This window comes from Homo sapiens, chromosome 9, assembly GCF_000001405.40.
Source record: "Homo sapiens chromosome 9, GRCh38.p14 Primary Assembly".
Classification (NCBI taxonomy): Eukaryota; Metazoa; Chordata; class Mammalia; order Primates; family Hominidae; genus Homo; species Homo sapiens.
In genome coordinates, this window is record NC_000009.12 from 97,194,965 (window position 1) to 97,212,341 (window position 17,377).

The window sequence follows — 17,377 nt, forward strand, 5'->3', positions numbered from 1 at the left end:
ACTAGCTTATGTGTATAAGCATCTTGGGTGCTAAAGTGTTCATCTGGGTAAATTACCACCAAGGCTAAACGGCAGGGACAACAAGCAAGCTTCATGTTCCATTGGGATATGACACAATACAAGTTGCTAATTTATAGTCCTTTGATGGCCAAGAAACTGTGCTGAGGTCACTTATCTAAAGTAGGCAAAGATTTAGATGAAGATTTCCCCATTGCTTTCCTAGTCTGATATATTGTAATTCAAAGTCAGCTAGGGATCAAATAAGTAAGAGCTATCTGCATACTGAAAACAACAGCAACAACAATAATAATAATAATAATAATAATGATAATGGTAATAGCAGTAGTTGTAAACTGAAAGTTAAAGTCTACACTTTTTTTTTTTTTTTTTTCAGAACAAATGTTTATTTAATAATTAAGGGCAAACAAAAACATTAAAGCATAGGAATACATCAACTGAATACAAGTTGTCTTGTTTGGTCTGAAATCTTGAAAAAGTTAATCTAACTACTTACCTGAGGTAGATTTAGGTTGGCACTGCTTCAAGGGAACCTCCGTCCATCCCAGAAGTTACCTTCTAGTTTTGGTTACAGGCTCCCAAGTGGTCCTCTCCAACCTCAGGTTATGCTATATGAATAATACCAACACCTTTTTCTCCCATGGTTAAAAGCCTTCAGCCTTGTTTCATACCCCCATAGTTCTCTGTTTGGGGGATGGTCCATCATTAATTTACTTAAAAACTAGAGACAACTACCAGTAAGATCAGTTGAAAGAAGGGTCAAGTCATTGCCCTGTTAATGATACCAACTTTGACCCCTTCTCCATGTTCTCTCTAATGACTAACAAGTAGCCGTAAGGACTACTTTTCATCACCACCATGCCTCACACCCAATACTATTTTAAGTATACTACAAATGTCAAACATATACTAGTGATAGGCATGATTTTCACCAGAGAAAAAAATACATCTTGTGTGTCTTATACTGGGCAACTTTTTATGATACAAGAGCTATTTCTAAATATTACAAAAACATGTCAGATCAAATAAACTTCCAGGATCTTTTTCTAAAAGAAAAAAAAAATACCCTAGAATCCTTATTATCACTATGAGCTATATTCACTGGCCCTAATATTATCATGATCATCAACCAGTCATTAGGATCAAAGCTTAGAGCCATACACAAGGTAGCAGTGTAGCAGTTCGCCAACTCCATGAATCCAAATGGCAATACTCTCTGAAGTTCAGGGATCTGCTAGGACAAATCAAACCAAAATCAGAGGATTTGGACTAGCAACAAAGTATCTATTCACTAGTCTACAAAGTCCCAAATACTATAGGAATCTGAAGTATTGGTATTACACGTCTTTGAATCTCAGGGAAGAAAAAAACTGAGATGTGACCATTGATAGATCTCTAGATTAATTATAGTATTTCTAGAGAACATTAAAGACAATCCTAATTATACTTTTAAATTGGAAACAAGTACTTATCCTTAAGCCTCTGATGAATCTGCCAACTACTTTTCCCTTCTAGTATTTAGAATTCTGCATTCCACGCCATATACCTTATAATGTGGTGATTGCAATCCTTTCCCTGGGATTAAAAGGTATTTTCTCTTTCCTTGGCAGAACTGAAATAAATGAAAGACGTATCATTATGGGTCTTGATTTGCTATAAACAGCAGGATAATGGAGTGAAAAGAACACTAGGTTTGGAGTTAGGATACTCAAAATAAAAAAAGCCTTACTCTTATATTAATAATGCATCATTATGCATTTTTTACTCTATGCCTACTCAGGCTTAAACTTTTCTTTCAGTTTTCCTGTAGCCATTTTACTAGGAGCTGACTGTGGGTAGCTACTGCTGAAAGAGATGATAAGTGAAGTCACAAAAATATGGACACTAAAACCATCATAATCATTATATGAAATTTGCACTTTGAGTTAAAAAGAAATGAATTTCTAAACTTGAAATTTCAAATACCAGTAATAACTTGAAAGATATTTTAGGGGAAAAAACTTTTGAGAGTATGCCTCAACTGACACTAAGTAAAAAGCTGAGTATGCTGTTTCTTTATAAGATTGGTCCTGCAAAGGAAAAACTATTGGGAGAGTTTTGATCTAGGATAGCTACTCCCTAGCTTCTTAAGTTCATTTCACTGCCAGCAAAAGGCTGCCATGTTACTATCAACACTCTAGTCCCATCCTAGACAAGCATAAAAATATCAACCAAGGCAAAGTCAATATACTCCTTTCCCCCAACAGTAACACATGCCACACCTTCTATCATAAGGTTACCGTCCTTTCCTTTATTGGATTTCTGAATTTTTTAAAAAGTAAAAGTAAAGCAATCATTAAGTAGTTCAGATAAAAGAAAAGCATCTTTACCTGAGTTACCCATCAGGTCTACTCTGACCCGCCCTAGCTTCTCCCAGAACAAGCTTCTGGGTATCTAAAAAACTATTTTCATACTGATTTCATGTAAAGTCCTCTCTACCATATGAGTCAACTAACTATGAGAACAGTCTTCTCATACATATGTACATAGATTCTCACCCACAATTAAATCTCTCACTGCAGAACAGGTTTTTTGGGGCCTGATAAGACAGGAGCTTCTACCAAAGGTTTTCTCAGACTCAAGGTAAGTATGGGTTTTTTCACCTATGTGAGTTCCCTGATGTACCACAAGAGTTGATCATTGACAAGCACTCTTCATTCAGACACTTGCAGTCTTTCCTCAGATTGGGTTTTTTTTTTTGGGTGCAAACCCAAGTAAGGCTCTCCAATGAATGCTTTTGCCATACGTAAGACAAATATACAATTTTTCACCAGTATGGCTTCTCTGATGGGTAAGTCAGAGTTTTGTTAGAAGCTTTTTTCACACTTGCTGGGGCTTCTCCCCAGGGTGGGTTTTCTGAGGTCCAATGAGATGTTCATACTGTCTGCAGCACAACTGACACTGAAGGCATTTAAAAAGTTGTTCTCCGGTGTGAATTCTCTTACAACGAGAAGGGCTGAGCATTAGTAGAAAGCTCTCTCACACTCAGTGCATTTCTAAGGTTTCCCACTTGTATGAATCCTCTTGTGAGTGATCAAATTTGAGCTCAGACGGTAAGTTTTCAAAACCTCTGGGCATCTGTAGATTTCTCGTTGGAGTGAGGATGAAGTGTTCTGTTAGGGCAGCTCTCTGGGCAAAGAATTTCTCATATTTCCAATTGCAGGCTCTCTGGTCCCCACTGAATTCTGAGCTCTGAGCAAAGTCTGAGATTTGTCCTCATCTTAATGAGTTCTCTGATACATAAATAATTTTTAATATTGGTATTACAGCTTCTCGCCTGGTCAAGACATCTGTGAGGCTTCTGACGCATGGGGAGGGCTAAGCTCAAGACCTTTTTCACTCACATTACAGACAAACGGTTTTTCACCAATGCGTACTGTCTGATGTTGAAGAAGGGCTGAACTCTGGTGGAAGCTTTTATCACATACAGTGTATTTATAGTGTAGCTCCTCTGTTTGAGTTCTCATTTTCTGTTGGGCAACAAAGTCCATTCCTAGGAGGAAGCCACTCTCACACGCAGACCACTGATGTGGTTTCTCTTCCATGTGAATTCTCTGATGTACAATAAGATCTGAGCTACAGTTAAAGCTTTTTTCATATTCAAGGCATTTAAAAGTGTGAGTGTGAGTTGCCTGGTGCCTAATTAGGTTGGCACTCCGAGTAAAACTTCTCATACATTCCAGGCATTTATACGGCTTCTCACCTGTGTGGACTCTCTGGTGCACGATAAGGTCTGATTTCTGGCCAAAGCATTTTTCACAGGCACCACACTTATAGGGCTTCTCCCCAGTATGAACTCTTTTATGTACAATGAAGGCTGAACGGTGTCGGTAACTTTTCTCACACTTATTACATTTGTAGGGCCTTTCCCCAGTGTGAGTTCTCTGGTGGCTAATAAGATCTGATTTCCCACTAAAAGCTTTTTCACACTCGAGACACTTAAATGGTTTCTCACCTGTGTGAGTTCTTCGATGCCTTATGAGGTTTGTACTTCTACTGAAGCATTTGTCACACTCACTACATAGATATGGTTTCTCGCCAGTATGGCTTCGCTGGTGGACAAGCAGATCAGAACTCTGACCAAAATTCTTGCCACAAATGTCACATGTATAGAATTTTTTACCTGCATGTGTTCTCTGATGTCCTGAAAGCACTAAGTGATGCCAAAAGCTCTTCTCACATTTGCTACATTTATAAGGTTTCTCGTAATTGTGGATCCTCTGGTGTGAAGTAAGATCTGAGCTTTGGACAAAGGTTTTCTCACACATATCACATTTATAAGGTTTCTCCCCAGTATGGGTTCTCTCACACATAATAAGAGCTAAGTTTTCACACAAGTTTTGCTTGCATTCAAGGCACTGGTATATATGACCATCTATCTGAATAATCTCATGCATATGAATAAAAATCTTTTTACCCTTCCGAGGGCATACATTATATATTTTCCTTTTTTGAGTTCTCTGATTACATTTCTCTTCTGAAGTGTACATTTTCTATGGCTCTCTCCTAGGGAGTTTTCCGCTGGTCTTCTTGACCCATCGTTGCCCTCACAGTCATTTTCTTGATAAGAACTTGGAAGATACATCTGTTTCAGGCCTTTCAATCATGAGCCTCTACAAGTTTCCAGCATCATATATGTTAATTCCTTACTTGGTATTTCCAACCCTAGAATCCAGATGGAAGAAAACATACATTCCTGATCCTGACTATTTGACTTCTCAAAGAAGATAGCATTCGTAACAAGAAAGACTCAAGACCATCTTCCTTTTGGTTTCAAAAGGTCTCTAGTTCAGAACTATTCACAACACTCAATTCTTGCCTCTCCCTGGCAGCCGCCGGCGCCGCCCCTAGGCCTGGGGACAGCACTTCCGGTTACTCTCCGGACACTCGAATCTGGGCTTCCTGGCGGCCGCAGACTCTGCGATAGTAGATCTAAGGGCCAGGCTTCGGGAAGGAAAGAAAAGCGAACCCGGCACGGACAAGACCTAGGAGCAACTCCCTTCGTGCGCCTAGACTAGAGGAGCTGGGGCCAGGCCGCCCACAGAGCGCTTTAACAGAGCGCTTCAAGGGCCCACAAGGCCGGCAACGCAAACCCTTTCAAGCTGGCTGGGAAGAGGCCGGCGCCAAGTCTACACTTTATAAAATTAATAAAATACAAAACCCCTTTAGCTAATATAAGATTACAGGACCAAAAACATCAAATTACAAATAACAGTCTATAAGAGAAGATGAATCCTACTATATACTGTTTTTTATGTTGCTCAGTCCAAATAACTGCTTTTCTACCTAACTGATTATTCATGTTATTTTTTACTATATGCCAATAATTATAAGTTAAATCTTATTAACAGTTCTGACTTGAGTGACTCTTACCACTCTAGAACACTCAGATTTTTAGGAAAAAAAACAAACAAACCAAAAACAAAAACTATTGCACCTTCTGAAATTGTCAACGGCATGTATATTTGCCTGGTTCTTCAATAAGAATTCCACCACATGCTGTCTCCCAGAATTTATAGCAAACAAAAGTGGAGTGTTTCCCTCCTGTAAAAAGCAAAAACAATTTATAATTCACAAAAGTATGTATTTCTCAACTGAACTAAAAATCTTCTATAAGATGCTATGAACTTAAACATGCAATATAGAGAGAAAGTAAATGCAAAGCAGTCCCGTCCTTTTCACTCCTCTGTGCTTTCCCACACACTGTCTTGTGAACACCCCTCCTCTGCCTCCCCACATTAACTTCGGTCATCTCCAAAACTCCCTTTTTTACCAGTCCCAAAAATCCTTGCTTCTGTCTCAGCATTTAGCACAGTACATTGTAATTATTTCATTGTTTCCCACTGAAACCAAGAGCTTCTCGAGGGCAAGGGCTGTATCTTTTTTCTCTATAACCCTAAAACCTAAGACATAGTAGTGAATGCTTTAAGTTTTTAAAATAAATTAATGATCTAAATTATTATCTCTGGAGCCGTGTTTCTTAAACTATATTTCGAAGAATATTTGTTTTACCAGAAGAACTGTACCCCAACAAAAAGATTCCATGATCATCTGCATTTGAGAAGTATTACAAAATTATATTACATGGCCAACAATCTAGAAATCCCTTGAACTTTGCCTAATCTCAATTTGACAATACTTTTTGTGGCAAACATTAACATTTTAGGAACTAGAGTTTCAGGGATACAGTTGCCAGAGCTTCCCAATACAAGTGGAGGTTTCCTCTCGGTGGCACAAACTTGCTTGATTTACTTCTATCAATGTTGTCAGGATGCCAATGTCAGGCACTCCTGATCCAAAGGGGCCACTAAGGAAATGAGCTGTGAATTAAGAGAGATTGGCTTCAAAATCACTTATTTTCCTTATTATTAAATAGTCCATGGGATTTTTCCTAATACAAGAGGATAGATTTTAATCTTAACTATTAGAAAGCTCAGTATGTTCTGTGTAAGACAGACCAGTTAAAAATTTTTGAAAATAAATATTAAAAAGCAAAGCTCAGGAAGAAATTCTATTCTCAATTATAATGATAATCCTGGGATGCTAATGCAACTTTACTTTTTAAATCCATTCGTATTGATTTCCATTTAAATTGCTATTTAACTTTTTTTTACTTTAGGCAAAATATAAATCAGAAATAAAAATACAATGGCTTATCAAAAAAAGTTCTAATACTGATGTATAGGGCTTATTTCTAGCATAATAAAAGCCAGTAAGTCACTTGCATTTTTGTCTTTTGAAATGGGGTCTCACACTGTCACCCAGGCTGGAGTGCAGTGGCATGATCGCCACTCACTGCAAACTCCACCTCCTGAGTTCATGCCATTCTCTTGCCTCAGCCTCCCAAGTAGCTGGAACTGCAGGTGCCTGCCACCACACCCGGCTAATTTTTTGTATTTTTAGTACAGACGGGGTTTCACCGTGTTAGCCAGGATGGTCTCCATTTCCTGACCTTGTGATCTGTCTGCCTTGGCCTCCCAAAGTGCTGGGATTACAGGCATGAGCCATCGCACCCAGCCATCACTTGTATTTTTAAGGGACATTGCTAAGAAGAAAGATATAATGTCTGCAATATTCATAATCTATCCACTTCTCAGCAGGAATAACCTAAAAAGGCTTCTAGGCATTCTTATGAGCAGATGACTATTTGTGGTATAGATATAAAAAAACAGGTAGGCATTCTTATGAGCAGATGACTATTTGTGGTATAGATATAAAAAAAGAGTTAAAAAGACTTCTGAATTCTAAAATTCAACTCTATAATTGAGGGACTTATATAAACTATAGACTATATATTATGAACCAATATATGGTGTCTTGAAAACCTTGAATTCTTTATGAAAACATACGATAAAAAAGGAGTTGTAAACTCAAATACTTATAAGGATGAAGGAGGTTACCTAAGTAAGTGAAGTACTCAGGTGGACACAGTAGCAAACTGGAGAATATGTGCCTCCTACACAGGGCAACCTCTGCACAGCAGACCAAGCAGTGATGCGGTTCAGGGGACACCAGATTTGATTCTTAAGCCTGATGTCCAGATTTCTGCATGAGTCCACTAAAGTTTACATGTTGAATCAATTCAAAGAGGCAAAGAACAAATCTATATGCCACATTTAGACTACAGCCCTTGTGTTTTTATATTTGCCATGAATGTGTTGCTAAATGATTGTGTATAAACCAAGTACTTGCATGTGGAACTTTTTCTTTCTCTAGTATCATATGTTTAATAAAAAAACTCAGGCCCTGATATATACATAATAAAAATTGCTGTTAACACTCATAATACCCACCTCAAGAATTTTCCCAACATTTATTCATTTGCAATCTATGTGTATATAATTTTCCCAGATTGTTAACCAAATAGATAATTACTTCATAGGAATGCTGAAACTAAATTATTAAAATAATTCCTATTGTATTCTCACTGACTTCAAGGATTTCAGTGTTTAAAACTGACATCCTGATAATGCCAAAGCTCTATAAACTTAATAGACATACTGAGATAGTCCCTAATACAACTGCAACTGAAAAAAAAAGGTTCAAGATCTGCTACTGATCTAATTGAGAAAATTTCACTTGTAATGAACACTTGTTGACACATAATCGCTTGAATGGTGACAAAGGAACATGAAATTGTGAAAGGGTCAGTCTCTACTTGTTGAAAGATTACCCACAAGTAAATTGCTAAAAACTTTCTGAATGGCAGTGAATGATTCATGGTGGGAAGCAAAAGGTGTTATTCTGTAAGCTGAGAGATGTTGCCAGTGATATTTCCTTTCACTTCCCAGTCACAAACGTAGAGAAAGACAGATAAGTCAGGTTAATGTTATTGGAAAAGAGAACTTTGAAGAAAGTAGCACCTATCAAATGCCAACTCTTTTAGAGATTTCTTATGTCTTTGAGATACGGGAATTTATATACTGCACTTATCTATTCTGTGCTTCTTAATCAGGAGTGTATTCGAACACTTAGGTTTTTTTTTTTGCTCTTGTTGTAAGAGACAAGAGCCTTACTATGTATTTTTAATAGAGATGGGGTTTCACCATGTTAGCCAGGATGGTCTCCATCTCCTGACCTCGAGATCTGCCCACCTCAGGCTGGACTCAAACTCCTAGGCTCAAGCAATCCTCCCACCTCAGCCTCCTGAGTAGCTGGACTACAGGAGCATGCCACTGTGCATGGCTTCAAGAAAATATTTTTAACCATACGTGTTCAGAAGTTATTAGATCTATAACATCAAAATCCTCAGGGGAAAGCCTACACTTGTAGACTTTTAACAAAATTTCCCGAGGTCACTGTAATGCACAATTCTTGCTGAGAATTACTGCAGCAGACAATCACTTCAGTTTCATCTCTCACCCACACAGCCAATATCCTTTATTAGCTTGGGATGTGGCCAGAGAGAAGAGTATGAGATAAGAGTTATGTATTAAAACTCCAGTGAATTTTCCTGGGTGTGGGTATAACAGGGACAAGTAAACTCAAAATCCCAGTTGATTTTGCTATTTATAAGCTGCTCATCTCCCACCTTCCCACCAAGATATTCTAGATTTGAAAGGAGAGTTTAGACTCTTAGCTAAGTTGCTGTTTTTGCCAGGATGTGTAGTAAGTCAGTTACTAATTTGTTCCACCCTTTGCTGAAGTGTTTCTCACTTCATCACTGTATATTCACTGCCAATCTGGTTTCCTCAGAGTCCTCTAAAAATTAATCTTTAGGCAAGTTTCAGTCACTCTTTTTACCAAACCAAAAATGATTACCCCAAAGCTGAAGAGTGTTTTGTCTCAATACATAAACTGGAAAAAAAACAAACTAAAAAACAAAACCTCTTCTTGGCATTTTCCCTCATTACCTAATTTCCAAGTGACCTGCATGTTTTTGATTGCTCTCCTTTTCCCTTCCTATTTTTCCCTCTTAAACCTTGCCCATGAAAGATACATCCATTTTGTCAGAAGACCATCAGCAGCAGCAAGACTTCCATTTATTGTAAGTTGTTTTAGTTTTGAGTTTTAAGATAAAGCCTATTTCCAGGGCAATTTTTTTTCCTGTGATGTTTTTACACTAATTAGAAAAAAAATACACCGGGGGTAGGAAACAAATACTTGAAAAGAAGTTTTACCTTAACAAATTCACAAATACTTCCCATAAGTGCACTAAAATAGCTGTGCCCTCTAATACTTCTTTAAAAGTATCAATATTTAAAGTAAAATTTTAGACAATTAAGTTATTTCAAAACATTTTCATTCAGGAAAACTTGAGTTCCAAATATGAAAAATTGACTCTTACCTATGTCAACGTTAAAACAAACATTTTGAAAAGAAAGTTGACTGATCTGTACCTTGTTTAGTGCTTTAATATTTGCATGGTGGGAAAGCAGTTTTTCTGCCAGTGAAGTCCCCTTATTATACACAGCATAATAGAGAGCAGTGTTGCTGTAGATATCCTTAATGTTTGGATTGGCACCATGTTCCAGGAAAATAATGGCACAAGCCTCTTCCTGGCAGTGTACAGCCTATTAGTGTTAGATAAAAAATTAGACTATAAATTCTAATAATTCAAAATACATATTCCACAGGTTCCACCAACTAGCTAATTTAAATGAGACAAATTCATTTTAATTCGGTGGAAGAGCCAAGATGGCTGAATAGGAACAGCTCCAGTCTACAGCTCCCAGCATGAGTGACGCAGAAGACGGGTGATTTCTGCATTTCCATCTGAGGTACCGGGTTCATCTCACTAGGGAGTGCCAGACAGTGGGTGTAGGACAGTGGGTGCACCACACCGTGCGCGAGCCGAAGCAGGGCAAGGCATTGCCTCACTCGGGAAGCACAAGCACAAGGGGTCAGGGAGTTCCCTTTCCTAGTCAAAGAAAAGGGTGACAGATGGCACCTGGAAAATCGGGTCACTCCCACCCTAATACTGCGCTTTTCCGACGGGCTTAAAAAAAGGCACATCAGGAGATTATATCCCGCACATGGCTCGGAGGGACCTATGCCCACAGAGTCTCGCTGATTTCTAGCACAGCAATCTGAGATCAAACTGCAAGGCAGCAGCAAGGCCGGGGGAGGGGCACCCGCCATTGCCCAGTCTTGCTTACATAAACAAAGCAGCTGGGAAGTTGGAACTGGGTGGAGCCCGCCACAGCTCAAGGAGGCCTGCCTGCCTCTGTAGGCTCCACCTCTGGGGGCAGGGCACAGACAAACAAAAAGACAGCAGTAACCTCTGCAGACTTAAATGTTCCTGTCTGACAGCTTTGAAGAGAGCAGTGCTTCTCCCAGCACACAGCTGGAGATCTGAGAACGGGCAGACCGCCTCCTCAAGTGGGTCCCTGACCCCTGACCCCCAAGCAGCCTAACTGGGAGGCACCCCCCAGTAGGGGCAGACTGACACCTCACACAGCCGAATATTCCTCTGAGACAAAACTTCCAGAGGAATGATCAGACAGCAGCATTCGCGGTTCATGAAAATCCGCTGTTCTGCAGCCACCGCTGCTGATACCCAGGCAAACAGGGTCTGGAGTGGACCTCTAGCAAACTCCAACAGACCTGCAGCTGAGGGTCCTGTCCGTTAGAAGGCAAACTAATAAACAGAAAGGACATCCACACCAAAAACCCATCTGTACATCACCATCATCAAAGACCAAAAGTAGATAAAACCACAAAGATGGGGAAAAAAACAGAGCAGCAAAACTGGAAACTCTAAAAAGCAGAGTGCCTCTCCTGCAAAGTAACACAGTTCCTCACCAGTAACGGAACAAAGCTGGACGGAGAATGACTTTGCCGAGTTGAGAGAAGAAGGCTTCAGACGATTAAACTACTCCGAGCTACAGGAGGAAATTCAAACCAAAGGCAAAGAAGTTAAAAACTTTGAAAAAAATTTAGAAGAATGTATAACTAGAATAACCAATACAGAGAAGTGCTTAAAGGAGCTGATGGAGCTGAAAACCAAGGCTTGAGAACTATGTAAAGAATGCAGAATCCTCAGGAGCCGAAGTGATCAACTGGAAGAAAGGGTATCAGTGATGGAAGATGAAATGAATGAAATGAAGCGAGAAGGGAAGTTTAGAGAAAAAAGAATAAAAAGAAATGAACAAAGCCTCCAAGGAATATGGGACTATGTGAAAGACCAAATCTATGTCTGATTGGCGTACCTGAAAGTGACGGGGAGAATGGAACCAAGCTGGAAAACACTCTGCAGGATATTATCCAGGAGAACTTCCCCAAACTAGCAAGGCAGGCCAATATTCAGACTCAGGAAATACAGAGAACGCCACAAAGATACTCCTCGAGAAGAGCAACTCAAGACACATAATTGTCAGATTCACCAAAGTTGAAATGAAAGAAAAAATGTTAAGGGCAGCCAGAGAGAAAGGTCGGGTTACCCACAAAGGGAAGCCCATCAGACTAACAGCGGATCTCTTGGCAGAAACTCTACAAGCCAGAAGAGAGTGGGGGCCAATATTCAACATTCTTAAAGAAAAGAATTTTCAACCCAGAATTTCATATCCAGCCAAACTAAGCTTCATAAGTGAAGGAGAAATAAAATACTTTACAGACAAGCAAATGCTGAGAGATTTTGTCATCACCAGGCCTGCCCTAAAAGAGCTCCTGAAGGAAGCACTAAACATGGAAAGGAACAACCAGTACCAGCCACTGCAAAATCATGCCAAATTGTAAAGACCATTGAGGCTAGGAAGAAACTGCATCAACTAACGAGCAAAATAACCAGCTAACATCATAATGACAGGATCAAATTCACACATAACAATATTAACTTTAAATGTAAATGGACTAAACGCTCCAATTAAAAGACACAGACTGGCAAATTGGATAAAGAGTCAAGACCCATCAGTGTGCTGTATTCAGGAAACCCATGTCACATGCAGAGACACACATAGGCTCAAAATAAAAGGATGGAGGAAGATCTACCAAGCAAATGGAAAACAAAAAAAGGCAGGGGTTGCAATCCTAGTCTCTGATAAAATAGACTTTAAACCAACAAAGATCAAAAGAGACAAAAAGGCCATTACATAATGGTAAACGGATCAATTCAACAAGAAGAGCTAACTATCCTAAATATACATGTACCCAATACAGAAGCACCCAGATTCATAAAGCAAGTCCTGAGTGACCTACGAACAGACTTAGACTCCCACACAATAATAATGGGAGATTTTAACGCCCCACTGTCAACATTAGACAGATCAACGAGACAGAAAGTTAACAAGGATACCCAGGAATTGAACTCAGCTCTGCACCAAGCGGACCTAATAGACATCTACAGAACTCTCCACCCCAAATCAACAGAATATACATTTTTTTCAGCACCACACCACACCTACTCCAAAATTGACCACATACTGGGAAGTAAAGCTCTCCTCAGGAAATGTAAAAGAACAGAAATTATAAAAAACTGTCTCTCAGACCACAGTGCAATCAAACTAGAACTCAGGATTAAGAAACTCACTCAAAACTGCTCAACTACATGGAAACTGAACAACCTGCTCCTGAATGACTACTGGGTACATAACGAAATGAAGGCAGAAATAAAGATGTTCTTTGAGACCAACGAGAACAAAGACACAACATACCAGAATCTCTGGGACACATTCAAAGCAGTGTGTAGAGGGAAATTTATAGCACTAAATGCCCACAAGAGAAAGCAGGAAAGATCCAAAATTGACATCCTAACATCACAATTAAAACAACTAGAAAAGCAAGAACAAACACATTCAAAAGCTGGCAGAAGGCAAGAAATAACTAAAATCAGAGCAGAACTGAAGGAAATAGAGACCAAAAAAACCCTTCAAAAAATTAATGAATCCAGGAGCTGGTTTTTTGAAAGGATCAACAAAATTGATAGACTGCTAGCAAGACTAATAAAGAAGAAAAGAGAGAAGAATCAAATAGACGCAATAAAAAATGATAAAGGGGATATCACCACTGATCCCACAGAAATACAAACTACCATCAGAGAATACTACAAACACCTCTACGCAAATAAACTAGAAAATCTAGAAGAAATGGATAAATTCCTCGACACATACACCCTCCCAAGACTAAACCAGTAAGAAGTTGAATCTCTGAATAGACCAATAACAGGATCTGAAATTGTGGCAATAATCAATAGCTTACCAACCAAAAAGAGTCCAGGACCAGATGGATTCACAGCCGAATTCTACCAGAGGTACAAGGAGGAACTGGTACCATTCCTTCTGAAACTATTCCAGTCAATAGAAAAAGAGGGAATCCTCCCTAACTCATTTTATGAGGCCAGCATCATCCTGATACCAAAGCCGGGCAGAGACACAACCAAAAAAGAGAATTTTAGACCAATATCGTTGATGAACATTGATGCAAAAATCCTCAATAAAATACTGGCAAACCGAATCCAGCAGCACATCAAAAAGCTTATCCACCAAGATCAAGGGGGCTTCATCCCTGGGATGCAAGGCTGGTTCAATATACGCAAATCAATAAATGTAATCCAGCATATAAACAGAACCAAAGACAAAAACCACATGATTATCTCAATAGATGCAGAAAAGGCCTTTGACAAAATTCAACAACCCTTCATGCTAAAAACTCTCAATAAATAAGGTACTGATGGGACGTATCTCAAAATAATAAGAGCTATCTATGACAAACCCACAGCCAATATCATACTGAATGGGCAAAAACTGGAAGCATTCCCTTTGAAAACTGGCACAAGACAGGGATGCCCTCTCTCACCACTCCTATTCAACATAGTGTTGGAAGTTCTGGCCAGGGCAATTAGACAGGAGAAGGAAATAAAGGGTATTCAGTTAGGAAAAGAGGAAGTCAAATTGTCCCTGTTTGCAGAGGACATGATTGTATATCTAGAAAACCCCATTGTCTCAGCCCAAAATCTCCTTAAGCTGATAAGCAACTTCAGCAAAGTCTCAGGATACAAAATCAATGTACAAAAATCACAAGCATTCTTATACACCAATAACAGACAAACAGAGAGCCAAATCATGAGTGAACTCCCATTCACAATTGCTTCAAAGAGAATAAAATACCTAGGAATCCAACTTACAAGGGATGTGAAGGACCTCTTCAAGGAGAACTACAAACCACTGCTCAATGAAATAAAAGAGGATACAAACAAATGGAAGAACATTCCATGCTCATGGGTAGGAAGAATCAATATCGTGAAAATGGCCATACTGCCCAAGGTAATTTATAGATTCAATGCCATCCCCATTGAGCTACCAATGACTTTCTTCACAGAATTGGAAAAAACTATTTTAAAGTTCATATGGAACCAAAAAAGAGCCCGCATCACCAAGTCAATCCTAAGCCAAAAGAACAAAGCTGGAGGCATCACGCTACCTGACTTCAAACTATACTACAAGGCTACAGTAACCAAAACAGCATGGTACTGGTACCAAAACAGAGATATAGATCAATGGAACAGAACAGAGCCCTCAGAAATAACGCCGCATATCTACAACTGTCTGATCTTTGACAAACCTGAGAAAAACAAGCAATGGGGAAAGGATTCCCTATTTAATAAATGGTGCTGGGAAAACTGGCTAGCCATACGTAGAAAGCTGAAACTGGATCCCTTCCTTATACCTTCTACAAAAATCAATTCAAGATGGATTAAAGACTTAAATGTTAGACCTGAAACCATAAAAACCCTAGAAGAAAACCTAGGCATTACCATTCAGGACATAGGCATGGGCAAGGATTTCATGTCTAAAACACCAAAAGCAATGGCAACAAAAGACAAAATTGACAAATGGGATCTAATTAAACTAAAGAGCTTCTACACAGCAAAAGAAACTACCATCAGAGTGAACAGGCAACCTGCAAAATGGGAGAAAATTTTCGCAACCTACTCATCTGACAAAGGGCTAATATCCAGAATCTACAGTGAACTCAAACAAATTTACAAGAAAAAAACAAACAACCCCATCAAAAAGTGGGCGAAGGACATGAACAGACACTTCTCAAAAGAAGACATTTATGCAGCCAAAAAACACATGAAAAAATGCTCATCATCACTGGCCATCAGAGAAATGCAAATCAAAACCACAATGAGATATCATCTCACACCAGTTAGAATGGCAATCATTAAAAAGTCAGGAAACAACAGGTGCTGGAGAGGATGTGGAGAAATAGGAACACTTTTACACTGTTGGTGGGACGGTAAACTAGTTCAACCATTGTGGAAGTCAGTGTGGCGATTCCTCAGGGATCTAGAACTAGAAATACCATTTGATCCAGCCATCCCATTACTGGGTATATACCCAAAGGATTATAAATCATGCTGCTATAAAGACACATGCACACGTATGTTTATTGTGGCACTATTCACAATAGCAAAGACTTGGAACCAACCCAAATGTCCAACAATGATAGACTGGATTAAGAAAATGTGGCACATATACACCATGGAATACTATGCAGCCATAAAAATGATGAGTTCATGTCCTTTGTAGGGACATGGATGACATTGGAAATCATCATTCTCAGTAAACTATCGCAAGGGCAAAAAACCAAACACTGCATGTTCTCACTCATAGGTGGGAATTGAACAATGAGAACACACGGACACAGGAAGGGGAACATCACACACCAGGGCCTGTTGTGGGGTTGGGGGAGGGGGGAGGGATAGCATTAGGAGATATACTAATGCTAAATGACGAGTTAATGGGTGCAGTACACCAGCATGGCACATGTATACATATGTTAACTAACTTGCACATTGTGCACAAGTACCCTAAAACTTAAAGTATAATAATAATAAAATAAAATTCATTTTAATTCTATGTATTTAAATCAAATGCATTTCATGCTGAAAGAGTTGGCTACTATGTACCTTCATTAAAGACGTCCTGTTTAGTCTGTCACAGATGTCAATCAGGCATCTTCTCCCCAGCAAGAGAGTGACCACTTCCACATGGCCATGGGCACAGGCCAAATGTAGAACAGTCCTAAGTGAGCGAGAGGAGTTTTCAGGAAATGTAGTGCAGTATCTCAAAACCTACAATGGTTCATGTAATTGTATACATTGAATGGCATGTTATTCCTCTGCCTTCAAAACAAACAATTTTCTTTTGAAGAAAGTACAATATTTATTAGCTCTTACTGCTCCCTACCTTAATGAAACAGCAGCCTATTTGGATAGAATAAGCTTGGTGTTTGGATTCAGTTCAACTAGGGTTTGAGTTCCACTTTGAACTCAGTCACATACCAGCTATTGCTTAGCCTTTCTGTGCCTGAATTTCCTCATTAATAAAGATGACAAAGCAGCTAGCTCACAAGACACCAGTGTGATGCTTAAATGAGACTCTATGTAAAGCATTTAGAACCACTTCCAGAACAAGCAACAACTCAATAATTGTTAGATTTTTGTTTGTTGAGACAGTCTTGCTCTGTTGCCCAGGCTGGAGTGCAATGGTGTATTTATGCCTCACTGCAGCCTGGAACTCGCAGGCTCAAGCAATCCTCCTGCCCAGCCTCCTGAGTAGCTGGGACTACAGGAGTGCACCAGCATGATCAGCTAATTTTTAAAATTTTTTTGTAGAGTAGGAATGTCACTTTGTTGCCCAGGCTGGTCTCAAACTCCTAGCATGGTGGGAACTTCCCACCTCAGCTTTCCAAAGTTCTGGAATAACAGCTGTGAGCCACGCACTCAGCCAGATGTTATAATTATTACTATTACTACTCCTTAACAAAAACATTTTAATTAAGTAAAATGATACAATTATTGCTATTTTGCAGGATGATTTAAAGATTAGGTCACATTTCAGAGCATCTGATATTGGAATAGTATTTATAATTCATA

The 17,377-nt window shown here is 39.2% G+C and overlaps 2 pseudogenes across 1 annotated transcript in view; both read right to left on the reverse strand.

Annotated features, from left to right (window-relative positions):
- Positions 1 to 17,377, reverse strand: part of ANKRD18CP (ankyrin repeat domain 18C, pseudogene) — an 82,850-nt pseudogene that overhangs the window by 39,072 nt on the left and 26,401 nt on the right. Inside the window, exons 2-6 of the transcript NR_136286.1 lie at positions 16,409 to 16,523; positions 5,495 to 5,601; positions 1,565 to 1,630; positions 1,180 to 1,249; positions 515 to 701 (exon numbers count right to left, since the gene is read on the reverse strand). The product of NR_136286.1 is annotated as an ankyrin repeat domain 18C, pseudogene (transcript). The remainder of the gene's footprint in view (positions 1 to 514; positions 702 to 1,179; positions 1,250 to 1,564; positions 1,631 to 5,494; positions 5,602 to 16,408; positions 16,524 to 17,377) is intronic.
- Positions 387 to 5,181, reverse strand: ZNF322P1 (zinc finger protein 322 pseudogene 1; annotated as a pseudogene).